This window comes from Homo sapiens, chromosome 1 (assembly GCF_000001405.40).
Source record: "Homo sapiens chromosome 1, GRCh38.p14 Primary Assembly".
In the NCBI taxonomy this organism is placed as follows: Eukaryota; Metazoa; Chordata; class Mammalia; order Primates; family Hominidae; genus Homo; species Homo sapiens.
The window spans coordinates 205,825,551-205,852,649 of NC_000001.11; the positions used below are offsets into that span (position 1 = coordinate 205,825,551).

Sequence of the window (27,099 nt, forward strand, 5' to 3'; positions counted from 1 at the left end):
CTGCAGTGAGTCATGATCTTGCCACTGCACTCCATCCTGGGTGACAGAGCAAGACCCCCTCTCAAGAAACAACAACAACAAAAACCAACCGTCTTTGATTAGATTTGAATTTTCAAAAAAAAATTTAATGAAATGTTCAGCTCTCAAGTAGGAACTTTGTCTCCTATTATCTCCCTTGGATAAAAGGAATACTGGGTTTAGGATGGCCATGTTTTTAGCAACCCAGATTCACAATCAAGGGATTCCAGCCAAACTTTCTGTTCCCATTCTCTTTGCTTATGAATATTTTGTCTTCCTTCTCGCCTTAGGTAGTGAGGTGTAAAAAGCTTGAGCTAAGTCCTTGATAGGGGTGTAGGATGTACCTGTGGTTATCTGTTGGAGCTCTTTCATTGGGGGATTTGGGAAGTGGTCTAGATGGATGGGGACGGAGTGGCGGAAAGTCACCGATTTGTTGCCTCATCCCATCCAGAGTCTTTTGTTTTTTGAGATGATGGTCTCACTGTATCACTCAGGCTAGTCTCAAACTCCTGCCCTCAAGCGATCCTCCTGCCTCCACCTCCCAAAGTGCTGGGATTAAAGGCGAGAGCTACTGCGCCAAGCCCCAGCCAGTCTTGAGGCTGCTGTTGTTCCAGCCAGGCTGGGGACTTTGAACTGCTCTCTCGAGAAGCCTTCAGGGACCACTGGGCTGTAATTCATGCGTTCTCGGAGCCAGGATTTGTAGCAGTTCCCTCTCATGGGCTTCCTACCCCCTCTGGAGCTTTTTTTCTACAGCTGGAAGAGTGTAGTGAGACTAGAGGAGGAGAGGGTCTGCTGTTCACTCTTCTCCCAGTTGCTCTATGATCATTAGAGACCTGGTTGTTCCCAAACTCAGAGAAAAGGGAAAAAAGCTGAACCCAGAAGCTGGGGGTGGGGCTGGAAAGAAATGCTGGCAGACAGCGGGAGAGGTGTGAATAGGGAGAGTTCAGCCAGAGGAATACAGATAGCTAGAGCTAAGAACCAAGTCCAACAATAGAACAGCCTTTGTCCTTGACATCTCTCTGGGTCAGAATGAATGAGCCACACACCACAGGTTCTTGGGGCAGGCAGCACGGTGCAATTGAAGAAGTACTGGACTTGGGGATTTTTGACCTGCATTTCAATTCTGGGGCTGCCCCTTAAGAATGCTGTCAAATGGCTTCTCTGAGTCTCAGTTTCAGTACTTTTAGCACAGGCTTTGGATTCAGATAGACTCAGCTCCTGGCACCTGCATGACCTTGGACAAGTTACTTAACCTAAGAGACTCAGTTGCCTCATCTGTAAAATGAACAGTAACACCTTAGAGTTGTTGCGATGAGTAAATAAGATAATTGATGGGAAGTAGATTCTATTGGTACGTAGGATTGTAGAATAACAGTGAGTTTGGAGCCAGGTGACATGGGCTTGAGCCAACTGCCTGCAGCTAGATGTGTAGCCTCTCTGAGAACCAATTCCTCCCCTGTAAGAAGGAGTAACAATGCCTTCTTCGCAGGGTTCTTGTGGGTCTCTGCTGAGATAAGATGTATGAAAGCACTCTGTACAGCTCTGTAGAAATGTGAAGGATTATTTTTGTTCTTCAGCTCGCCCTCTAACAAAGGCTGAATAAGTACTGAATTGGCCAAAAAAGGGAGGGCAAAGGAAGGAATGTGAATCTTAGGGGGAGTAGCAAAAAAGCTGGAATAATCCCCACACTGTGTTTCCAACACTTTTCATGAAGCCCGAGCTCCAAGAAACAGTACACATCCAGGGAGGGAGGTGAGAAACTGGGGACTTGAGGGGGAAGGGGGTTAGGAGGAGAGGGAAAAGGAGCCCACTGCTGTCAAAGCCCAGGAGGACATGGAAGGTCCTTGCCTGGTGAGGAGAAGAAGAGGGTGTCTCTCGAGTCCCAGCTCCTGCTGCGTCTTCCTTCGTGATCCAGACTCTCTTGTGATCCACAAAGCACAGCTTCCAGCTTTGAGCCAAGAAATGCTGCCTTCCAGTGCCCCCCACCTGGCAGCTACTGAGCAGATTCAAATATGCTCAGGGTTGGAGCCCAGAGAAAAAAGACAGGAATTCTGCTGTCCCCAGTGGAGGCTGGTTTGTCCTCCTCATACCCCACCAGACAGGGCAGAGCCCCTCAAGCCAGCCTCCCCCTCCTCCTCCACTTTCCCTTGATCTGCCTGAACCAGGACATGATGCCAGGGCCATGGACCTGCTGGTCCTGAGCTCCGAGAGCCCTTCCCTTGGGAGCTCAGCCCATCAGATGTGCCAGGGAAATGTTTCCACAGATTAGTGCCTCCTGTGGTGAGACAGTAGCAGCAGGTGTCAGGAACAGGGCAGGGAGGGAACAAAGCCCAGGGAGCCCTTGGGAGGAGCCCAAGGACAGAGGCTTTCTTTTCCAGTCTCTGGCCTCCAGAACCAGGAGGTTTGGGGTTCCTCCAAAGCCCCTGCCTCAGTTTCACCTCTCAGTGACCAGCTGGTGATGCACAGATCACTTTATTTGACTGATTATGGTGACAATTATGGTAGTATCACAGTTTGGGTAAGTCCAGGTCCAGAAGTAGAATAAATTGAAGAGTAAGGGGAGAGATGCAGGAGAGAGAGGAGAGATGAAGAGACAGCTCATGAGTCCAAGAAGAGAGGGGAATAAAAGGGGGAAGAAAGTTCTAGTAAGAAGAAATATATAAGCTCTGGAGAAAGCATCCCAGCAAGAGTGCCCTAAATTAAAGACTCCTATCAGGTAACAACTGGTTGAGATTTCTCAAATCTACATTTGTTAAGTCAAGCCTGGAAGGTGAAGCAGTGAAATAACCAGCATAAGACAGATAAGGGACAAGAGGGCAGCAAATGCCAGTGGATCAAGGGATGCAGATGTCGGGAGGAAGGGAGAAGCCAGATTTCTGCTGACTTTACCTTACCCCGGCCTTGTTCTTGGGAGAGTTTAAGAGTGAGCAAGACAGATGGGCAATGTTTTACAATGTGGTTTTGATCAAAAGTTTCATCAACACTAGCTTTCCCCCTTGGGTTAGTCCTGTCCCGGGGTCGGGCATGCCTAACCCAGCAGGCCCCTTGACCTCACAGTTTGTGCAGGTGAGAAACTGGCTCCTGGTCTGTGTCAGCATTCTGAATCAACTCAAAGATGAATTTCACTTGGGTCTCATAGGCTTGGACTGAGATTTTCTCGTTGACTCCATGGATGCTGAGGAAAGTAAGGTGCATTTAGGGAAGGAGGGGAGGGCCAAGTGCCACAGCACAAGTGTTATCACAGAGCACTTCCCTTACTTCCCTCACCAACCCGGAAACTACTGGCCCTCCAGGGCTAGGAAAGAGAGGGGCAAGGGAGGGGCCATCTGAGATTTCGGATGCACATTGGTCGTTTCTCAGGGATCCATCTATGCTCGTGACAAAGAACAGTGTGGAATAAACTCCTGGGGAGTCCAAAATAATCTCCTGCTCTGAAATCCATTCAATAATTTGTCCTCCGGGAGAATTATCTTTTTTCTTGAGATAGGTTCTCACTCTGTAGCCCAGGCTAGACTGCAGTGGTACAATCACAGCTCACTGCAGCCTCAACCTTCTGGGTTTCAGTGATCCTCCCACCTCAGCTCCTGAGTTGCTGGGACCCCAGGTGTGTGGCTAAGTTTTTTATTTTTAAATTTTTTTTTGAAGAGATGGAGTCTCATTATGTTGCCCAGGCTGGTCTCAAACTTCTGGGCTCAAGTGAGCCTCCTGCCTCAGCCTCCCAAAGTATTGGGATTATAGGTGTGAGTCACCACACTTGGCCAAGAACTATCTTTCCAATTGTCTTTCTCTTAGGACAGAATGCCTAGCTAGACTATCTCTAAGCCAGTCTCCTACTGTCCCACTTACTAGGGCTAAGAGAGGGTAGGGAAGGCAACTGCCCAGGGTGCCTACCCAGTTTTCTGTGGCACCTAGAAACTTTACTATCAGACCTCACATCCACCAACCTGCCTCCCCACAGTGAAACAAAACAGAGCAAAACAAAACAAACAACAACCAAACTACATATGTAATCTCAAAGATGAAAGGAAACAGAGTACCTACCCATCTCCCATTTAAAAAACAAAAACATGAAAGCTGTTCTTAAGCTCCTATTCAAATATTTTCACTCTGTCTACAGAGGATTTAGGATGGGGAAATCAAGTCTGGACGTGATAAGTAGCAGAGAGGTAAATGGAAATCATCCTCCCAAACCCCAGGATTGAAAATGTGCTGAAGAACCCACAAAAATAGTAATTCACACAGAGCAGTTAAAATTGGTGCTCACATCTTGGATTTCCATAGTGCTTTCTTCTGAGAAGTCAAAACACGCATCCACCTTTGACCTCATATGTGTCTGCATTTCAGAAAATGCTGAGGAGTCTCCCCATTTTGTAAGTGGAGAAAACGGGGTCCAGAGGATAAGCCCTCTCCCAAAGAGAGGAAGAGCTGGGATTAGCACCCAAGGGTACCGATTCCACCAGGTTCTCCCCAATCACCCAATTATCTCCATCTTTGTAAAAGAGGGGCCAATTTCCATAAATTCTAGGGGGTGACAATGAGACTCTGGCAATAAGGACAGTAGATGGGTTAGGTTCTACAATGTCTCCATTTCATTTTGCCAAATCCTGGCTTTCCCCCTGATTCTGTGGACTGCCAGGAGCATGGGGTAGGAAAAGGACACATCAAGTGTATTTCTTTTCTCCCACCTGCTGCTCAAACCTGTTCCACTCACCGTTTGAAGTCTTCAGGCTGTATGTAGATGGGGTAGAACCTGTAGATGCCAGTGGTGAGGTTTGTAAAGAATCGGCTGTCTGTGTTGCCAATAGAAGTAACTAGAGAGGGAAGATCAACAGGAAAGGGGCTTTACATGAGCAATCAAACCAGCGAAGTGGCTGGGGTGTGGCCTGGCTGGAAAATCAGGACTACTGGATCACTACAGAGCAATGCCTGGGCTCTCCTGAAAGCGTATAGCTATCCTTACAAAAAGCACCATTTCAGCCAGGAACATGGAATCTCCTTCCAAGGGCATTGGTGAGACATCCCTTGGATGGACCATTCAAGGGATGTCTCACCAATGCCCTTGGAAGTGTCCTCTCCCCATGACGACCAGGGAGGCCAATATCTTCATTTCATACCCAAGGCCATGGCCATTTGCTATTCCCCATGACGCCCAGGGTGGCCAGTATCTTCATTTCATACCCAAGGCCATGGCCGTTTGCTGTTCCCCATGACGCCCAGGGTGGCCAGTATCTTCATTTCATACCCAAGGCCATGGCTGTTTGCTGTTCCCCATGACGCCCAGGGTGGCCAGTATCTTCATTTCATACCCAAGGCCATGGCCATTTGCTATTTAAGAAACCAGAATCTAGATAGCACTTCTTTATCACCTGACCTTTATTCTGTATCACTCTAGGTCAGAAATAAATACCCTCTGGGAGAACTTTACTACTATAAAATATCACCGTCTTGAATTGGAACAAAATTTCCTGTTATTCTCATCCTCTGAAGTCTTCCTAGAGTCAAACCTTAGGTCTGGAAAGTGCCAGGATACTCTCTTTCCAGTTTCCCACTCTCCTGAAGGTGGTAGCAGGTCACCTAGCAGAGGCTGGGACTTGTGCCCATAGGTGTGTTCTTTGGGAAAAGACACCCTGGAGGATCAATTCAAGTGTGTGCGGTGATTTGAGATGGTAATTTGTGTTTTGTTCCATCTTCCACTCCTGGTTTCAAATGGACATCCAGGCCCTTCAAGTTCCTTGCTTTGTGGTTGATTGCTGCCTATCTTTTTTCTGCAAAAGCCTGGCCCCATTGGTGGATTACAGTAAGTGCTCCAGAAGAAAGAGAATAGAGTAGGTAGCCTTTGAGGGCCAAGAGAGGAGAATCTGGGATTGTGAGGGCCGGGTTCCTGGATGTTTGGAGGAATCTCTGATTAAACCAAGAGAAAAGAAAACTAGACACAGGCCTTAATATTAGAGCATTAATAATTGAGCAATATCATTATTATTGAGCAACGTCTCTCTCCTTTTTTTTTTTTTTTTTGACAGAGTCTTGCTCTGTCACCCAGGCTGGACTGCAGTGGGGCTGTCTCGGCTTACTGCAACCTCTGCCTCCTGGGTTCAAGCGATTCTCCTGCCTCATCCTCCCGAGTAGCTGGGACTACAGGCGTGAGCTACCACGCCCAGCTAATTTTTGTATTTTTAGTAGAGACGAGGTTTCACCATATTGGTCAGGCTGGTCTTGAACTCCTGACCTCATGATCCACCCGCCTCTGCCTCCCAAAGTGCTGGGATTACAGGTGTGAGCCACCGTGCCCGGCTGAGCAATGTCTTAATATTAGAGCAATAACCATTGACCAGAGATTCTCAAACTATAGTTAGTCATCACCTTGTGTCAGAATCTCCTGGGGGTATTTGTGAAAAAGGCAAATTCCAGGGTCCCTTCCAGATTTGGTTAACCCAAATCTTTGTAGTGGGTCCAGGTAATCTGCATTTTAATAGTTCACTGGGGAGACCTATTCCACTCTTAGATTGGAGAACCACTGTCTGCAAAGCACAGATTTGGATGGGGTGCTAGAAGGCTGCAGAAGGGGAACAGAGGGGTGCTGCTGGGATTGGTCTGGGCTGGGAAACGTAAATTAGGTTAAGGCAAATGGTATGGGCTGGGAGGCTTTTCTGAGCTGAGGATTCTGAGCTCTCCTGCTGAGCTGTTATCCTAGAATGGATCAGAACCAGACTCTGGGAAGATCTTGGCCCCTTCTGTGGCTCCTAGAGAGGAGGGAGTAGTCTAAGCCAATTCTCCCCTCTATGCCAGAGTGGCTGGCCTAGGTTAAGCAAGGACCCAGGCTTGACTGACCTAATTTATTATTTCTGTTCCTTTCCTGTTTGCGTTCTCACTTCCACTCTGAAGGGAAAATACAGTTCTAGTCTCATCAGGAGGGGAAGCAGCCAGCTGTTTACAGGCTGAACATCTAGGGTGGGGGTGGGGAAGTAGACATTGGATAGGAAACAGTTCCAGCCCCCTCCTCCCTCCAGCCACAGCTGATGAAGTCATTACCTGGGGCAGTAATATTGACTTCCGGGAAGACGGACTGTACGGTCTGGCGGAGCAGCTGGTAGCCCAAGGCCTTGTCATCAGAAGGGCTGACGGGGAGGGGGTCAAAGGCACTCAACACATGGAACTGGACTCTGTTATCAGCCACAATGTTCTTCGTGAGTTCTAGGACCTCCAGGGTAGAAACAAAGGGGGTTCGATTTCTTATTGATTTCTATACATGTACAATATGGGCTTAAATATCCTGATTTCTTTCCAGCAAGGCAGAGCCTCAGGGTTTACAGACAGGACTTATTTTTTTTAAGCACTGGGACTTCAATTTCAGCTGACTGGCTATAGGTGATGTAAGAGCTGGGTCTTCCTGGAAAGCAACCTACAGCATGATAGATTTAGGTTAAATGTTTTGGGAGACTTGTCTTACAGTCATGAATCAGATCTTGAATTGGAACAAATTTACATGAGCAATCAAACCAACGAAGTGGCAAGGGGATGGCCTGGCTGGAAAATTGACTACTGGGTCACTACAGAGCAATGCCTGGGCTCTCTTGAAAGCCTATAGCTATTCTTACGAAAAGCACCATTTCAGCCAGGAACATGGAATCTCCTTCCAAGGGCATTGGTGAGATATCCCTTCGATGGAAAGTTGGATGGGAATTGGAAAATCAGGAAGTTATGTATCTTTCCCCTTGGGTGGTGAGCCACAGGCTGGATGAAAGTGTCGAAGACACAGCAGAATGTCAATCATCTCGAGGCTGGGGAATAGATGTGATGACCTGGCTTCAGCCTCGGAGAACCTCAGACAGGTAATAAAAGGGTCACACACTTTTTTCCCCCTCTCTGGGCATTTCTGCTTCCTGTTTGTAACCAGCTGCACTGGAGCCAGGAAGATGAGCTCAACACAGACAAAAAGTCAGAAGTTATGATACTTGTATTCAAGTTTTCTCTCTTTGCTTCGTTTCCTTGGGAAAGAACCTAAGGAAACTCCTAGAAAATTCTGTCTGAAACGACTAGAGTGAATCCAGAAAAATTCCTGGCTGCAGTCAGGAAGTAGACCAGACCCTGAGGATTAGGTCACATAGAGCCACGTGGGAATGGACCAGGAGACTGGCTTAGAGGGACCCTTGCTCTCCAAAGCTCCAGCACTAGTCCCAACCCATTTGTTCAGTAGTTGCTTTAAAACTGCCTCTGCTCTAGAAAGGGGGGGTTGTCCCATAGCTGCAGATCACCTGAATGGGGGTCATTATCTTAAGAGTACCTCTTTTTTTTTTTTTGAGACAGAATCTCACTCTGTCGCCCAGGCTGGAGTGCAGTGGTGCGATCTCGGCTTACTGCAACCTCTGCCTCCCAGGTTCAAGCAATTCTCCTGCCTCAGCCTCCCGAGTAGCTGGGATTACAGGCATGCACCACTATGCCTGACTAATTTTTGTATTTTTAGTAGAGACTGGGTTTCACCATGTTGGTCAGGCTGGTCTCAAACTCCTGACCTCAAGTGATCTGCCCGCCTTGGCCTCCCAAACTGTTGGGATTACAGGTGTGAGCCATCATGCCTGGCCAAGAGTACCTTTTTTTTTTTTTTTTTGAGACAGAATCTCGCTGTGTCGCCCAGGCTGGAGTGCAGTGGCACCATCTCGGCTCACTGCGATCTCTGCCTCCTGGATTCAAGCAATTCTCCTGCCTTAGCCTCCCAAGTAGCTGGGACTACAGGCATGCACCACCATGTGTGGCTAATTTTTGTATTTTTAGTAGAGACGGGGTTTTGCCATGTTGGCTAGGCTAGTCTTGAAACTCTTGACCTCAGGTGATCTGTCTGCCTTGCCCTCCCAAAGTGCTAGGACTACAGGCGTGAGCCACCGTGCCCGGCCCCAAGAGTACCTCTTTTATGCCAGAAGAATGTTAGGAGTTGAGTCTGGAGAGGAAGTGAAGGTTCCCACTTCTGGCTTAGAAACCACCATTTGAATCAAAACAAATATCCTGCTATTGGATGGGCAAAGGGGTCATCAAAGTGTATTCTCACTTCTCAGAGCATATTTTCACTCTAGCACTTATAATACAAATATCCTAATACAAGAATTAATGCACGGTCTTGACATATTCTCAGCCCATTGGCAAGTTTCTGAAGTCAGCCTCCATGAGGTGGGTTGGGACTGTGCCCACTGCCCCAAATTCCTTAGAAGTCCCTCCAGAAATCGAAGAAGGCATGCAGAATGGATCCCTTCAGTAAGAGGCTGCAGGAGCTCAGGTTTCCCACTAGCTGCTGGGCCAGGCAGGGACTGTGTCTGACTCAAGGGCAGGGACTGTGTCTATCTCATTTCCGCATTTCCAGTAGCAAGCACATAAAAGTCATGCAATAAATCTTGGATACATAAAATTTAAAAGATGTGAACCAATAAAAATAAGAATAGGTGTTGATTCATTAAATAACTTGCCATGGGTTATACAGTCAGTATTGTCAGGTCGGGTATCTGTCTGACTTTACAGGAATAATGCTTTACTGCTTCCTAAGTACGTACAGTTAGAGGTGGTGTGGAGTATAACCTGAGAGGAGGTGTTCATCTGAGATGGACTCCTTAGTGGTATGAATGTTTAGCCCAAGTTTCAAGGAAGGATATGAAACTGACAGAGACAAGGTAACAGATCGTCTGAGCATGGAGAAGGGCAGGCACAAAAATTGAGATGTGACAACCAACTTTGTGCCTCAGTCACTCACAGTTGTATGACCTTGGACAAGCTTCTTAACCTCTCTGTGCCTCAGCCTGCCTATCTGTTAACATGTAGATGATGGTAGCACCTACCTCATAAGTGGTGGTGACCATTACTGGAGTTAATATGTGTAATGTGCTGAGGTCAGGAGATCGAGACCATCCTGGCTAACACAGTGAAACCCCGTCTCTACTAAAAATACAAAAAATTAGCTGGGCGTGGTGGCGGGCGCCTGGAGTCCCGGCTGCTCGGGAGGCTGAGGCAGGAGAATGGCATGAACCCGGGAGGCGGAGCTTGCAGTGGGCCAAGATCGTGCCACTGCACTCCAGCCTGGGTGACAGAGCAAGACTCCGACTCAAAAAAAAAAAAAAAAAAAAAAAAAGGTGTAATGTGCGTAGGGCAGTGCCTGGCACATGGTAAGCACTCAAAAAATGCTAGCTGTTATTTGCTTATTTAGAATAGAGGGACCACCTTGGGCAAGAATCGGAGGTACAAGAATGGAACTAGGAGGAGAGACTTGTCAATGGTGAGAGACCTCAAAGGTGACTTTAGAGCACACGAATCTCTCATTTCTCTGATCTCCTGTTCTTTTTTTTTTTGAGACGGAGTCTCGCTCTGTCACCCAGACTGGAGTGCAATGGTGTGATCTTGGCTCACTGCAACCTCTGCCTCCTGGGTTCGAGTGATTCTCCTGCCTCAGCCTCCTGAGTAGCTGGGATTACAGGTGCCCACCACCATGCCCAGCTAATTTTTGTATTTTTAGTGGAGACGGGGTTTCACCATGTTGGTCAGCCTGGTCTTGAACTCCTGACCTTGTGATCTGCCCAGCTTGGCCTCCCAAAGTGCTGGGATTACAGGCGTGAGCCACTGCACTGGGCCCAGATCTCCTGTAGTTCTTTCAGTGCATTCTCACAACCTTATGTTGTTCTCTGTTTTATGTGTAGAGATATTTTCCTCTAAGTGAACGGTACAGCTGTTGAAGGCAAGGACAATGGATACTTAAAAACAGGTAAGGTCTTTAGAGTTAGCAAGTCCAGCTTCTGTCCTGCTGTAAGGCTGCTCATCAGAAAACTCAAGACAGGTTGTCATCCCATCTGCTGCAATATTTCCAGTGGCAGAAAGCTCGTCACTGCATGCTATATACCATTCCATTTTTGAGTAGTTCAGTTATAAATATCTTGCTTATAACTCAGATATGGTGTCCCGTAATATCTAATCCCTCTCCTTTTTTGAGACAGTGTCTTGCTCTGTCACCCAGGCTGGAGTGCAGTGGTGTGATCATAGCTCACTGTAACTTCCAACTTCTGGGATCAAGAGATCCTCCTGCCTCAGCCTCCTGTGAGTAGCTGGGAGTATAGGAGTGTGCCTGCTTAATATTTATTTTTATTTGTAGAGATAGGGTCTCACTGTGTTGTCCAGGCTGGTCTTGAACTCCTGGCCTCAAGCAATCCTCTGGCCTCAGCCTCCCAAAGCACTGGGATTATAGGTATGAGCCACTATGCCTGGCCCTGCCTCTCCTTTTTTTGACAATGAATATACTCCACAGGATGTAATATAGTACTAGACGCATCATAAACACTCAGCAGAATCTTACCTGTCAAAATTAGAGGGCATCTGTACTGCTTCCCACTTTGTGCTCTTGCTGCCTGGATGCTATTGCCAGGTCTTTGCTCCTCCTCAGAGAGGGCTTCAGTGACCATCACATTTAAAGGACCTCACTGCTGTACTTCTGCCCCACAATTACTCTGTGACACAGCATCCTATTACTTTCTTTGTGGTATTTACCACTTAAAAAAAATTTCCTTGCTTACTGCTGTCTCTTCGCTAGAATGTAAACACCATTAGAATGGGAATCTTGTCTGTCTTGTTCACCATTCTCCCAAATGCTTAGAAGAATGTCTAGTCCACAGTAGCTACCAATAGACACTTGAATGAATAAATGAAGGAAGAAAGGAAAGAATCTTCTCTACAACACTCTTATTGAGCCCTTTTAGTGATGAGGAGCACAATCATTGTCCAAGATAGCACATTCCAAAACTCTCCCTCAAGTGGAGACTCCCTCAAACATCTCCCACTGGCCTTCTCTCTACTCCTTCAGGCCCATTCAGGACACACCTTCCTTTCCACATGGCAGCCTCTTGGATTTCTGAAGGTTCTGTTCCTCACAGATAGGTGCTGGAGACCTATCTACAACTGAAGTTGAATATGGAGCAAGAGAACTCTGGGGGCGGCCTGTGTTCCTGCTGGATCCAGCCCGAGGCTCTGTGCACAGGGAGTGCAGCAGGGAGTGTTCCTGACGCATGGAACTGGGGCTGGAGGGAGAGGAGTAACCAGGACAAATGCGCCCACAAGCTTTCTGAATATGGAGGCTTTCCATTCCTCACTGCGGCACGTGGGCAGGATGGACCTAGGGATTCCAGGGGTTTCATCAGAGAGACCGGAAGGAAGGTCACTGTGGCAAGGGAGTAGAGAGGAGGGAAGAGTGCCAGGACCTGGGGAGATGAAAGCCCCAGCTGGGTGGAAAACAGCCCTTGGAAAGGGCATGGAGTTGGAATGAGGCTGGAAAAAAACTAGTGGAAAGAAGCTCAATGAGGGGAATTCAGTGATTTCCTGGCCCCATGAGACCCCAGGGAGAGGACAAAGGTTGGCACCTGATGAAAGGCAGGAGAACCCAGGGCTCACATTGGTCCTAACTACCCCCCACTCCCCCAACCCCCTCAATGCTGGGTGGCTCTGGGCAGGATGTCAACCTTCTCCCCGCTCTACAATGAGGAGTGTGCCTCTCTCCTTGCATGAGGACAATTAAAGTCCTCTCTGGGGAAGAACTTAGGAGAAAGGACCATAGAAGTCCAAGTGCCACTGACCCTTGATGATCTGTGGCACAGAACTGCCCCTAACCCTGGTATATTCTGGAATGTATTACTCATCTGATAGTCACTGGGTTGTCTTTTTGGATCTTTTTTTTGTTTTTGAAGCATTGGGTTTACCTTTTGAATTCCTTTTAGCTCAGCCTGATGTTTAAATAAGCTGGCATTTACTGTGGATGTCAGACATTCTGTGTAACTTCTACTCACCCTTCAGCTTTCAGCTTAAACATTACTGCCTTAGGAAGCCCTGCCTGATTCCCAGATGGGGTCTGGTTCCTTGTTATATTCTCTAACAAGCACCAGGTTCCTCTTCATTATAGCACTCATCGTGGTTTGCAATTATACATTCATTTTTAAACTGATGTTTGTAGCAGACCATTGCAAGGCTCTGGCCTCAACTCTTTTCTCTCCTAGCTCTCTGCACCTTCTTCCCATGGGCTTTTATTGAATCTAGAGGTTCCCATGATGTTAATGACACTCCAGCCTATATCTCTAGTTCATATCTCTCTCCAGACCTGAGGTATTTATAATTGCCTATTTCATATGTTATAAGCTTCTCAAACTTCCAAATTATGATATTCTTGAACTTGTTTTAATTTCTGAATTCCCAATCTTAGTCAAAGGCATTAACTACTTGGTCAACTACCCAGGTTAAAAACCTTGGAGCCATCCTGCTTTTCTCTCGCTCCATACCCATATACATACCACATCCTATTGAACCCACCTCTCTCCCACCTCTGGTGGTTGCTCTCTTCTCCACCCCACGAGCATGGCCTCAGTCCAGACCTTCACATGCACTACCTAAGATGCTGAAATAGCTCTCTGTCTCCTTCTCTTCCAGCACTCCCTCTGCAATGCTGCTAGCATGACCTCTCTAAAAGCAAATCTGAGTATTTGGTTGAAGACCTCTAAAAGTTCTCTCCTGCCACAGATTTCACAGATTAGGGCCCAAACTCCTCAGCATAGCATACAAGGCCTAGATCCCTAAACTACAACTCCATTTCCTATCAGTTTTCATCTCCTATTACTTGTCCCCAGTTTATTCTATTCGTTAAGCCACAATGAATGTCTTACTTCTAGCCAAGTTCTGTTTTTCCTCTAAGGCCCAGTTCAACATTTTAGTAGTCAGAAAAGACTTTTTTGACCCTAAGAAGTAGCATGAATTTCTTTCTTTGCAGTGGTCCTATGGCAATTTGTTCACCTCTAATTTTTATAATCATAGTTTAGGGTTGTGGCTAAAAGCACAAACTCTGGAACTAGACTGCTAGATATATAATCTTGGGTATGCTGTTTGATTGCTCTGGTACTCTGTACCTCAATTTTCACCAGTTAAATGCAGATTTAGGGTGGGTAGTTGTGAGGATTAAAATGTATGGGTATACCTTAGAAAGGTGCCAAATATGGCTGGGTGTGGTGGCTCATGTCTGTAATCCCAACCCTTTGGAAGGCCGAGGCGGGTGGCTCACAAGGTCAGGAGATCAAGACCACTCTGGCTAACACGGTGAAACACCGTCTCTACTAAAAATACAAAATACAAAAAATTACAAAAATACAAAGTACAAAAAATACAAAAAATACAAAATACTGAAAATACTAAAAATTAGCCGGGCATAGTGGCACGTGCCTATAGTCCCAGCTACTTGGGAATCTGAGGCAGGAGAATCGCTTGAACCCGGGAGGCGGAGGTTGTAGTGAGCCAAGATCGTGCCACTGCACTCCAGCCTGGGCGACAGAGCAAGACTCTGACTCAAAAAAAAAAAAAAAAAAAAAAAAAAAAGAAAGGAAGAAAGGTGCCAAATACACAGCAAGCCTACTACACTACTACATATATATAATGTTATATATAATGTTTGTTACTATAGGTATTGCTATCATTTATTCATACTCATCTTCCATTTCAGACCCCATGTTTACCCAAACCCAGGATCTCCAATCCTAATGAAGTATCCGGTGCATAGGTTGTCTTTGAAAAATGTTGGTTGAATAAATGGGACACTGGACCAGCCCTAGGACTGTAGTTAAACCCGGGCCCTGAGGGCCACATCTCCCTGATGCTGCATGAGTTGTTGTCTGGAACATATGGTACATACCTCTTGGACTGTCTGTCCAGGGTGAATCCGGAAGTTGACTGTGGCCTGGGCCACTGGGGGGATGACATTGAACTAGAGAGAGAAGCACAAAACCCTGGCTTGAGTCAACCTCAAATCTTCTACATCTGCCTGCCCAGGAAATGCTAATTTCCTCAGCTCAGGCAGAGTTGGCTGATTTGACTTAAGGACCCAAGGCTTAGCTTTTCTAGTCTGCCTCTTGTCTTCTCTGAACTAAGTGACATGTTATATTCAGAGCTGAAGGGGTGTCTCTGCTTTAAGCCAGACCTTCCTGCTTCTTGGTGCTGCAGGGGGTCACAGAGATGTTCAGAGCAAGGCTGCTTTCTCTGATCACCCAGATATCTCTGTTTTGGCCCCATGCTGTGCTATTAGAAGCCTTCTGTGTGCACTTTCTTTCCCAGCACACCCAGGACATTTCTGCAGCTGTTAACATTAGTGCTTACTCACGATGGGGCAGCCAGAGCCTCTGTTGACCCCCATCATGGCATAGCACGGGGCTCACATCAGGTTTGATCCTTGAGGGGGATGAGAAGAACACATACTCCTCACATATTCCTGGTCAGGCAGGAACAAAAGAGTGACAGAAAAGTAACCTTCAGAGTAAGAAAAGGACCCTAGTGCTGGCCAGTGCTCTGCCTGTTCTCACCTATTCCCAGCCAGTGACTGAGCCAAGACAGAGGGATCTGGCTTGTTCTCTAGGGCTGTTAGTATGTTTCTGAGACCCTAAGACCTAACATAACCTTTGGGAGCTGGTTCCCTCTTATCCTTGAGGCTGCTGAGCAATTGTTCTAACCAATCAGATAAGCCAGTCAGGCAGTAATTGCCTCCCCATTCCCGACCTTCTAGCAGGGATTGGTGGTTTCCCAGGTCCAGTTGTAAAATCTGACTTTTTTGCCTGACCAGGAGGAATCCAGGACTAACTGGAGAAAAGAGTTAGGCTATGGAGGGATTGTTCCTTGGAGGCCGGGAGACTCCCCAAGTGCATATCTTTCTTTGAACTCGTATGGTGCAAAAAAGCACTAAGTGGTCAGGGACAGAGCTGGGCTGTTGCAAATTAGCTGTTGCAACCTCTTTGTGCCTCTGTTTTCTCAACTGGGTATTGGGGCAATACTCATAGGACTCTTAGAAGGCTCAGATGGAGTAACAAAGTATCCTGGGGAGATGAAAACACCATTCAAATGTCAGGACACAGTGCTATTATTCTGATGAACACTACAGCTGACACACTGGACGGTCCAGTGAGTTATGCCAGGAATTAATTCAGAGGCATCATTCACTTATATACCCGATTACTAGAGTGCTTCAAGGTCACATTGTACTCTAGGTGAATGGTGCCCCCTGAAGTTGTGCTGGTGGTACTGGCAGTTACAAGAATGGTCTAACTCCCTTCAAGATTTCAGAAAGGCCTATGTCTTTGCGTGGCTAGGCTTGGATCCAGCTGACACACACAGAAGGAAGGAAGAGCCAGTAGATAGATTCAAGGAAGGGAGGAGTGGAGGGCGGTAGGGAAAAGCTATATGGGGAGGAACCAGGGATGTTACCTTGACCCCTGCTTTGAATATGGTGAGTGCCGTGGTGGTCCTGATTATTGCATTGGTTAAGGGATTTCTCTCCATAAACCTAAAACAAAAGGACCAAGGTCAGATGTTAGAAAGAACCAATGGGGTGAAGGAAAGGGCGGAAACATTACCCACTTTCCTGAACCTTGGGGATCTTTAAGACTGAGAGAGACGTCTTAGAGATGTCTTAAATATACACACTTAGAGATGCAGTATCTGGTGGCTGAGGGATGATTAGTCAGGCCCAGTTAAGCCAAGGAGAGGGGCCTGGGGGGTGGGTAGGTTTGAGGTGAGGGATGTGAAAAAAGGAAAGATAATACTTTACCTGCTTATAAGTGGTTCAAATAGCCATGGGTTGCTCAGGATTATATTGACAGGGAAGGGAAACTGGGAAAGAACAAGGTCAGCACCACAGGGTCACCTCTAGTTTAGCCTGGGTCTCTGAGACCTGAGTCTCTCTCTACTTTAGAGCTGCCTCAGGGGCCCTTAGCAGTCAGGAGTGCTGCTAAATTCAGTTAGCTCAATCCCTGCTAGAGGATCAGGAATAGGGAGGCAATTACTGTCTGGCTGGGCTTATCTGGTTGGTTAGAACAATTGCTTAGCAACCTCAAGGATAAGTGGGAACCAGCTCCCAAAGGGTAGATTAGGTCTTAGGGTCTCAGAAACACACTAACAGCCGTAGAGAACAAGCCAGATCCCTGTGTCTTGGCTCAGCCACTGGCTGGGAATAGGTGAGAATAGGCAGAGTGCTGGACAGTACTAGGGTCCTTTTCTTACTCTAAAGGTTACTTTTCTGTCCGTCTTTTGTTCCTAGCTGATTAGGAGTATGTGATACTTCTTCCCATACCTCATTTGCCAGTTGCTGCAATACAGTCACCACTGTCCCGCTTCCAAATATGATAGGCATTGGTGTCTGCTCCAATCTGGAAGAGAAACAGAGTCCTCAAGACTTAGCGAACCCCAGCCAAAGATCAGTGGCTTGAAGAGGAGAAGAAGGGAGATAGGAGGAAGTTTCAACGCTCCTGGCCAAGAGGTCTCTCATTCACCTCCCTCCCACCTCCACCAACTCAACATTCTGAAGATCTCAAAACATCCCCAGGAGCTTTCCCTGTCTACCAAGTCTGCATTAGGGTCCTTCTTTCCTCCCTCTGCTGTTCTCTAGAATCCTGTGTGTCCACTCTCATAGCCCATCCCATACTACAGCAGAATTGTCAGTCTCCTGACAATTTGAATGAATATAGCACTCCTTCCCACTTTGCTAAGAAAACCCAGCCAGGAGTAAGCTCTGCTGTTACAGATTCTGCTGTCCTCATTCATAGCCAGCAACTCTTATTTATTTTTGTCCTCCTGCCAGGACAGGTGGAGAATTTCGACAGCTCTACCAGTCATTGCCAATTTGTGATTCTAAATGTCTGGACTCTGGACTACTCTAGCTGCCTGACCTAGCTTCTGCCTGTAGGTCCTTGCTTTCCATATGGATATACTGACAGATCCTCTTCTGACTCCAGCCCTTGCAGGATACTGGTGGCTCTGTCTCTCCTGTGGCTCCCCCAACCCCCACCTTGGAAGGAATTCTCACTCCATTTGAGATGACCCCAGCCTGGTATCTGTGAGCCATGCTGAGATAACTCTTTATTTACACCTGTTGTATTAATCACCTGGATCTTTAGTCTGTCCTGGGCTTCCCCTTCTGTTCTTCCTCTAGTGTCAATTTTTTATAGCATAGTTTCCCAGCCCAACTTTAGGGCAGGAAGCTTAGCCTCCTCAAATTTAAAGTGGGAAAGTGCCAGGGCTTCCATCTCAAGTCTGGCATGGGAACAGGGCCAGGAGTTGCTTACCGGCTGACAGCAGCTGCAAGGATGCCAATGCTTGTCTCCTTTGGAGGAGCTGAAGAGTGGCCTGAAGTCATGTTTACTTGCAGCATGAGGTTCATGGAACCCTTCTCTGAGACTGCAATCCTGTAGAAGAGGATCGGAAACCACTCTCCTGACTTCTTGCCTCTCTGAATTCTCCCATAGGCCCATAGGTCCATCTGTGCAATAGTCTAGTGGGCAAGGAGGTAGCTTCATGCTGCTTTAAAAATTTTATACTGGAGGAAGAATGGAAGGGGAAGCCTAGGAGAGGTTAAAGATTGGGGCGATTAATGCGAGAGGTGTACACAAAGAGTTGTCTCAGCATGGCTCACAGATACCAGGCTGGGGTCATCTCAAATGGGGTGAGAATTCCCTCCAAGGTGTGGGGTGGGATGCTTTACTCACAAGGCGATGGGCTTCTTGAAGTTAGGAATGAAATCATCCAAGATGAAGCCCCCCTCGTCCACAATGAAGGCTAGCTGGACGCCCCTTGACTGTAGCAGGGCTGAGATCCTCTGAGCCCCTGTCCCTGATGACTGCAGACATGGAACATAGAGCTATAGTCCTTCTCAGCCAGAGACAGACCTCCAGACATAGCTAATGGGGACCTATTCAGCCTAGCTAGGGGCTCCAGAACCTTTCTACCTAGTCTCCTTCCTGGGAGCCAGGGCCCTAGAGAATCCTGCCTTACAGAATTCTGGAATGTCAGAGCTGGCAGGCCTCACCCTCCCTTATTTCACAAATGAAGAAACTGGAGCCAAAAGAGTGAAGTGACTTGCCCAGGGTCTAAGTAAGTAGCATCATTGGAAATAAAACGCAGTCATCACTCTCCCTTTTCAGTTCTTTTTCCATCACACGTATGTTTCTTAGGGTATAGGTGATGGACCCACTGCCTGCCTCAGATATTATGAAGGAGTTTGTTAAAAATTCAGATCTAGGGCACAGGGCCCAGGAATCTGAATTTTGGTCAAGGTCCTTAGATAGTCCTGGCATACAGACACACGGAGAAGTTGGCAAACTACCGTATCATGGAGACCTTGCTGCTGTGGGCAAACTGGACTAGGGTTAAGCACCCACTCCCCTACCCTCAACAGAGGACAGAGATAGGTATAAGGTGAGGAGGCTCTACCTCCTCATCATGGCCCAGAGAAATGAAGAAAGATCTTCGGGGGATGTACTTCCTGATCAGCAGGAGCTCCAAGGCCTGCAGTAATGCCTGGGGTTCAGAAGCACAATGGAAGAGGAAAAAGACGTTATTTAGGTGGGAATACCAGGGTATCAGAGACATTCAGTTGCCTGTTATCAGGGCTGGTGGGATGAGGATGTGATAGATTCTCTTGAAAGAGAACAGATTCAAATGGTACAGGGGACCTGATGCGGAGAAACAGAACGTTTACCACCTGGAGAAGAGCATAAACATATCAGTGTCAGGACTGAAAGGGTCCCTGGGGACCATTCAATCCCATTTACAGCTGAGAAATCAAGGCCCAGAGAAGGGAAGTGACAAACTGATGGCTGGAACCCAGGTCTCCTGGAGCCAAGATTCTTTTTACCATTATCTCCCACCTCCCAGGGTCAGCCAAGCACCCCCATCCTGATTGATCTTTAGGGCCCCAAGGCAGAGGGAACATTGCATCTCAGACCATCACAGAGTTCTTGTCGTCCAGTGTGCCCCGACCATAGATGATGCCATCACGCTCCAACCCAGAGAATGGGGGCACCTCCCAGCCTTCTTCAGGGGCAGGCACCACATCAAAGTGAGCCATCAGCAGGTAGGGCTGCAAGCTGGGGTCCGAGCCTTGGATAGTGAACAGGTGGCTATACTCTTCCACGACTTCATGCTGGATAAAGCTGGTGCTGACCACTGTAGGAAAGACTAGAAGCAAAAAGGGCAGGAAGAGAGAACCAGGGTTAACAGTTTCCTTAGGTTTTCCTACCAAGTTGTGCTTCCTGTTCCTTTATTTATTTATTTTTTTAAACATGCATCCTCCTTTAGGAAGCCTTCTAGGACAAAGCTAGTCTGATTCCTGATCTACCTGGACAATCTTTGAAATTCGTCTTCCCCATATTTCAATGTGCTATTACTATGTAATAAATGCAAATCAAGAGCCACCATTAAGGCCAGGCTTGGGGGCTCATGCCTGTAATCCCAGCACTTTGGGAGGCCGAGGCAGGTGGATCACCTGAGGTCAGGAGTTCCAGACCGGCCTGGCCAACATGGCGAAACCCTGTCTCTACTAAAAATACAAAAATCAGTGAGGTGTGGTGGCTCATGCCTGTAATCCCTGCTACTCAGGAGGCTGAGACAGGAGAATCGCTTGAACCTGGGAGGCAGAGTTTGCAGTGAGCTGAGGTTCCGCCATTGCACTCCAGCGTGGGTGACAAGAGCAAAACTCCATCTCAAAAAAAAAAAAAAAAGACTCGGCCAGGCGTGGTGGCTCATGCCTGTAACCCAGCACTTTGGGAGGCTGAGGCGGGCAGATCACTTGAGGTCAGGTGTTCGAAACCAGCCTGGCCCACATGGTGAAACCCCGTCTCTACTAAAAATACAAAAAACAGCTGGGCGTGGTGGCACGTACTTGTAATCCCAGCAACTTGGAAGGCTGAGGCAGGAGAACTGCTTGAACTCAGGAGGTGGAGGTTGCAGTGAGCCGAGATCACACCACTGCACTCCAGCCTGGCTGACACAGCAAGACTCCAACTCAAAAAAAAAAGACTCACTATTAAGATGGTCAATATCTCAAGCTCAGGCTTGGTCAGACCTATAACATGCTATCACAAGTACGTGTTAAAGGGCTATGCAGATGAGGGATGCATTAAATTTTGACCATAGGAGGCCGCATTAACCAAATTATATTAAATTATTATATTAAATTAGTAGGCCTCATTAACCAAATTATATTTAAATATTATATTAAAAAGTTCAGAGACATTTTTCTTTTTAAAAAGCCACACATCTAGTGTATGTGTTATGTGAACATAAAGATTATTCTGTTTAGCACAAGGTCGTACTTCTGCGTGCAGGTGTAGATGTTCCTAGGGTCAATTATTCAAGCGACCTTAGCTACATAGGAGAAATAAATTTTATCTCTCTCTGGGTTTTTTGGAAGAATTCACATAAACTTCTGTGGATACCCGAAAACCGAAGAAGACTATGGTTTTATCTTGTCACCTAGCTTATCCAGTTTACTGTCACTATACATTTCCTTTCCTATGTTTGTCTCCTATTTAGTAAAGACTTGCAGCCTTTTCAGCCTGGCCTCAGCTTGGCTACTGGGCATTAATCCCTGAGCCACTCATTTTTGTTTTTTCCTTCCTTCCTTTCTTTTTTTTTTTTTTTTTTTTTTTTTTTCAGAGACAAGGTCTTGCTCTCTCACTTACACTCGAGCACAGTGGCACATTCATAGCTTACTGCAGCCTTGAATTCCTGGAATCCAGCAACCCTCCCACCTCAGCCTCCTGTAACTAGGACTACAGGTGCTCGCCACCATGCATGGCTAATCCCAGAGCCATTTGTCCCAGGGTGTTAGAGAGGGGGCTGCTTGCTGCTCCTAGGCCACCTTCTCCCACCTCTGACAACTTTGGAGGGGTTGTTTTTAATTAGATTTAGGAAGGTAATCTCATCACTCTCCATGAGATTTTCATAAGGGGAGGGAGGAGTTCCAAGAATCCTTTTTTCCTCTGACCCATCCTTCCTCAGCTCTGTACTCAATGGGTGGTAGGGATGAGGGAAAAAGACTGATGTTATAGCTCAAAGTTGTTGACTGCCTAGAGGCCTAGAAATGTGTTAGTAATGAATCTGGGGTAGGCCTGAGTACGTGGAGTGTATATGTACCGGTGTGTTTGGGTGTGTAAGGAGGTAGGGGTGGGAGGAGCATGGAACATAGTTCTGGGCAGTTGCACAAGTAGAAGGAAATCCTAGTTCTACTTTTTGATGATTTAACATTTATTGAATGACACACATGTAGGGCAAAATTTGAGAGAGTTTGTACTCTAATGCAATGGCTGGATGAACTCTCAATCTTTGCCCTACATATGGTGGCTTAGTTTTTCCAAGAGCAAATCTACAGTCTCTACTCTGCCTATGGGAATTAGATTGTCCTCTGATCAGTCGCAAAATAAACTTCTTTATCACTTTGTAAAAGAACTGTGTCTCCATTGCTATTTCTACCACCCACCCCTTGCCCCTGATTTGCAGCTGACCTTTATGAATGTATTTTCCGAACTCAGCCAGGGCTGTAGTATTGGACTTCTCAGAGCTAAAAGTCACTGTTGGAATCTGGATGGCACCTGTCAGAGTCAAATAGAGATGAAAGATTGAAAATGAATTAGTCATTGTTTTTTTCTACAGTCCTCTGTGCACAAAAAGTTCTTTTGCCTTCATTATCATATTGCAGAGGGCAAAACACTAATGTGAGGTAGGCGCTATTGTTTCCTCTAATTCGAAGATGAGGGAAAATGCTTGGAGAGGTTAGGTGAGCTGTCTGAGCAACAGGCAGACTATAGATTTAAACCTATGTCTTCTGGGTTTGTTTAGGCTGATATGGTTCTTAAAGGCAAATACAGTCTAAGATTGGAGGGAAGTGGATTTTTGGATCCTGGTCTTGAAGGGAAGCTACTATAAATTGCTTCCTAAGGCCTCACTACCTCTGAAATCACCAATTGCTTTGATGAATCCAAGCTTCATCATTCTCAAGGCACCCACTGTCCTGGGTCCCTACATCAATGAGGCTTGTGTGTTTTTGTATGTAAAGGCTTATTCCTTATGCAGAGTCTCACTAGTCTGTCAACCAAGACCAGCTTTTTGGGCATATAATGCCTGGGAAGGGGTGGATTTAGAAGCCTCCAAACAAACTCCTCAGTCCTAAAATAATCTCACCCTCCTTACTCAGTTGTCTCAGTTCCTGAACCTTCACTGGGCTCATCCCTTTGAGTCTTTAAGACTTTACAGTTTTAAAGAGTTCCATGATCAAAGACAAAACCACTGGGAGGGAAAGCATGAATCATGAGAATATTGAATTAGACTGCTCTCCAAGAACACAGTGCAAACAAATTCACCTGAGGCAGGAAGGGTCTCTGAAAGACAAACTTCATCAGTTTTGCTAAGGATCAACCCTACAATAGCATAGCCCACCAGATAGATGGGGAAGCCGAGGTTCAGAAAGATTCAAGTGCCTACTCAAGGGCAGACCCAAGGATCTGATCTCAGGTGTTCTGTCCCCTGCTCAGAGTTCCAAGCTGTGTTGCTATGAGGTCCCTATTCTAGCTTATGTAGCTTTTGTTCTCTTCTGTGCAGACTGTGAGTGGCTGTCTAATGCCTTTTAGAGAATTATTTATGCTTTGGGAAAGCCCTGCTCTGCCTCCCAGGCTTGTCACTCTAGCATATGAACAATCTATATCCAACTATTGGGGTTAGCTTTTGGTCCCTGCATCTGCTTCTATATGTTTATGCAGGCAGTCTCTCTTAATCCATTACTTAATGAAAGGGAAAAGACTGGAGCTAAGCTGAATGGTAAAGAAGGATTTCATCCCATAGGATCTAGCACTCAACAGAAACTTTCCTGTTTCCTGGAAAATGCAGATTCAGAACAGGGATGAATTTTTGGTCTGGATTAGAGATCTAGAGGAGACATGTTCTTCAATTATGATTGAGAATTAGGAACATCCCACACCCCGGGAACACTCCACTCCCTTTCTTTAGAGCCATCTGATCCCAGCGAGTCCGACAGGCACTAGATGCTGTCACCCACTGCCCACTCTTTGCTGTGGGGCCCTGGGGAAGATCATTTAGCTGACCTAAGCCTCAATTTCTCTCCTTTGTAGATAAGACTAATATCATTTGTCTTATTTTACGACACCGCAGTAATTTATCAGGCATGCAAACTTTCAAAGGTTAAAATTGATGTACAAATGAAAGCTGGTGTAATACTCGAGGCAAGCAGGGGAAAGAATGGACGGTGGTCACGCCAAGAGGGGTGAAGTTGGAGCTTCCAGGTTAGGCAGGGCACACCAGAGTTCCAGGAGCCAGGTATGGGGGAAGTGTGGCGTCCCCAGACAGGGGCACGATGTGCTGGGAAGGGTGTTGGGGCCGGGCTGGGGTGCGTGTCGGGGCTCCAGCTGCAGTAGCAGATGCTTTGCGGCGGAAGCGGGGAGTCACGGGTTGACCTGGGGAGGGAGGGACCCACATATGAGCATAGGTGGGTGAAGGGGACCCGGGTTCACCTTTCAGCGCCTCTTTCATCGCGACGCGTTCCTCTTTGCTGAACTGAGAAGGGATTCGCGACGCCCTTTGATGCTCCCCGCTCCTCGGGCCCATCGATCTGGAGACGGTAGGGAAAACTAGGAGCAGCATAGCCACCAGGGCCAGCACGCAAACGCACCGCTGAGCCATGCTTCTCTCGAGCTCCTGCTGTCAGGCTACCGGGGTAGTTCTGACCTAAACGCCCAGACTAGCGTTTCTTGGCCCTAGCTCTGCTCTTATTCCGGCAAACAGCCTTAGCCACACCCCATATCCAGATCTGACCAATCATCGCTTCGCTAGGACAGCGGAACAACCAATTGACAGAATGACCCCGCCCAGGATCCTTAAGGCCTTTCGAGGGTTGTGGGTTTTCGTGCTGAGGCCAGCAGTTCCTGCAGAGCAGAGGTGAGGTCGGGCTCCAGGCTAGAGTCATGTCTGGTCCGCACTTGATCTCTCACCCATAAATCCTTTCCTGTATGACAACAAATCAAATAAAGGAGGAAAAGCAAAATAAAATGCACGAAGCTTATCAGACCATACTCTGCTGCTCGTTTTTTCCGAAGCTTAGAACCTGACTACAATTCCCTAGATCCTGGGGCGGGGGAGCTCTCTAGGTTCCCAGCTTGATTTCATCTGAAATTGGAACAAATTGCTCTGTTTATAGATACTGCTTTGAAATACCAGCTCAGAGGGTTGGCTCCTGTTTAGAAATTTCATTGAAAGTGCTTTTAATATTAATGTTAACACTACATTTTTGCAACTCTAGACAAGTACAGTAAGACTGAAGGATTTTTAGAAAGATTACTATAAAATATTTAAGAGAATTTTGATGTATAAATAATTTTGATGTATTCCACAAGTGAAATTTTATGGTTATTCAGAGTAGAGGATCATTCTGGAAAAAAGAAAACCTGTCTTATGTCACAGAAATATAAAATCAGATTTCCTGAAGCCAGAATAAATCGTTCCTTTCAGATTTCTTGATGCAATTTTATCTGGCATCACTCTCAAATTTTAGAATTCTCAAGAAAAATTCAGTAAGTGCTATACAACCAGTAAGGCCATATTGCTACCTGTGACCAAAGCTACAGGTTCACAGTCCTGGTGTTTGCATTTCATTTAAGATTTGCTTAAAAAAAAAAATTCAGCCATGTAGTTACTTTTCTTTTCTTTTCTTTTTTTTTCTCTCTCGGTGCCCAGGCTGGAGTGCAATGGGGCGATCTCGGCTCACCGCAACCTCCGCCTCCCAGTTTCAAGCAATTCTCTGGCCTCAGCCTCCCAAGTAGCTGGGATTACAGGCATGCACCACCATGCCTGGCTAATTTTGTATTTTTAGTAGAGATGGGGTTTCTCCATGTTGGTCAGGCTGGTCTCGAACTCCCGACCTCAGGTGATCTGCCCACCTCGACCTCCCAAAGTGCTGGGATTACAGGCGTGAGCCACCACACCCTGCCTAGTTACTTTTTAATAGCAACTTTAAAACAGTATCATGAAATACTTCACATATTATAAAGATATAAAAAATAACATAATGAACATTTCTGGATTCACCACCTAGTTTAAGATTTAGAATGTTAAAAATAGAGTTGAAATTTAAACATGAACATTGACATAATTTTTAGTAAAAAGTAGCTTAATCTCTACCTAACTTTAAAATTTTTTTAAAAGAGACTTTTTATTTTATATATTTATTATTTTTTAAAATTATTATTATTTTTGTAGAGATAGGGTTTCACTATTTTGTCCAGGCTGCTCTTGAACTCCTGGACTCAAGCAACCCTCCCATTTAAGCCTCCCAAAGTGCTAGTATTACAGGAATGAGCCACCACACCCAGCACAATTTTTATGATTGTAAAATTCATGTATATTTATGCCCTTGTGAAATATTTGGAACATTAAGTATAAAGAAAAAAATCACATGCTATCCCAATATCCAGAGACGTTCACTCATCATATTTTGATGTTATCCAATCTTTTTTCTCTGCACACAAATACCCACAAATGAAGGATGTCCCTGTTTTAAAATGAAACAGATGCATATACTGCATCCAAAGTTCTATGTTCTGCTTTTTTTCCTTTAACATTATGTCATAAACACTTCCTGGTCCTTAAATATTCTTTAAATTATCTTATCACATAATATTTGATAATTAAGAGTACGTACAACGTGTATGTAAAGTAAATAATAACATGAACACCCGTGATTTGGAGTTTAGACCTAACTGGTCAAACTGCATTTTTTCTCCTGTCACTGCTCCAATTCTTGCAATCTGTCTAATTCCCACACTGTTCCCAGATCTAGCCAATCATGGAAAATTATCAGTAGCATTGAAGGTGCATGTGTTCTATTGCCTTTATTTTCCAACTCCCTGCCCAAGGTAATTGTATGACCGTGTTGTGTGTTTTAAATAGTTCTACAACATATGTATGATATACATATATGTATAGTGTGTGTGTGTGTGTATATCTTATAAAAATGACATCATGTTGTGTGTAGTCTTCTGCAATTTGCTCTTTTTACCCAACACTGTTTGTGGGATTTATGCATGCTGTTATATCTTGCTACAGTCTATTGACATTATTGTACATGTCTCCTGGGCCACAGGTAAAAGAGATTCTCTGGAATATATATCTAGGAGTGAAAATGCTGTGTTGTACTGTATGTTCTATTTTACAAGAGAAGGCTGAATTATTTTCCAAAGTGATTGGAACAATTTATACTAATCA

General features: G+C 46.0%; 1 protein-coding gene across 2 annotated transcripts, besides 2 other annotated features; it reads right to left on the minus strand.

The window, feature by feature from the left end:
- Positions 1 to 2,474: 2,474 nt before the first annotated feature.
- On the minus strand, positions 2,475 to 24,582 carry PM20D1 (peptidase M20 domain containing 1). 2 transcript variants are annotated; one of them, NM_152491.5, is made up of 13 exons: positions 24,354 to 24,582; positions 22,335 to 22,421; positions 19,775 to 20,007; positions 19,261 to 19,347; positions 18,537 to 18,667; positions 18,117 to 18,236; positions 17,126 to 17,201; positions 16,604 to 16,665; positions 16,261 to 16,339; positions 14,702 to 14,773; positions 7,048 to 7,216; positions 4,730 to 4,829; positions 2,475 to 3,193 (listed from the first exon to the last, which is right to left on the minus strand). In NM_152491.5, the coding sequence occupies exons 1-13, from the start codon at positions 24,520 to 24,522 to the stop codon at positions 3,070 to 3,072; spliced, it is 1,509 nt and encodes a 502-aa protein (NP_689704.4). In that variant the 5' UTR covers positions 24,523 to 24,582; the 3' UTR covers positions 2,475 to 3,069. The 2 variants fall into 2 exon arrangements, 1 of the variants encoding a protein (NP_689704.4); NR_135186.2 differs by lacking the exon at positions 16,604 to 16,665.
- Positions 8,755 to 9,254: an enhancer, noted in NCBI's record as "H3K27ac hESC enhancer chr1:205803433-205803932 (GRCh37/hg19 assembly coordinates)". NCBI's record gives its function as "activates a minimal SCP1, AML or CMV promoter by ChIP-STARR-seq in primed H9 embryonic stem cells {active_cell/tissue: H9 hESC(primed)}" and the evidence as "EXISTENCE:reporter gene assay evidence [ECO:0000049][PMID:30033119]".
- Positions 24,511 to 24,805: an enhancer, noted in NCBI's record as "tiled region #4160; K562 Activating DNase matched - State 4:PromP". NCBI's record gives its function as "activates a minimal TATA promoter and a strong SV40 promoter by Sharpr-MPRA in K562 cells {active_cell/tissue: K562}" and the evidence as "EXISTENCE:reporter gene assay evidence [ECO:0000049][PMID:27701403]".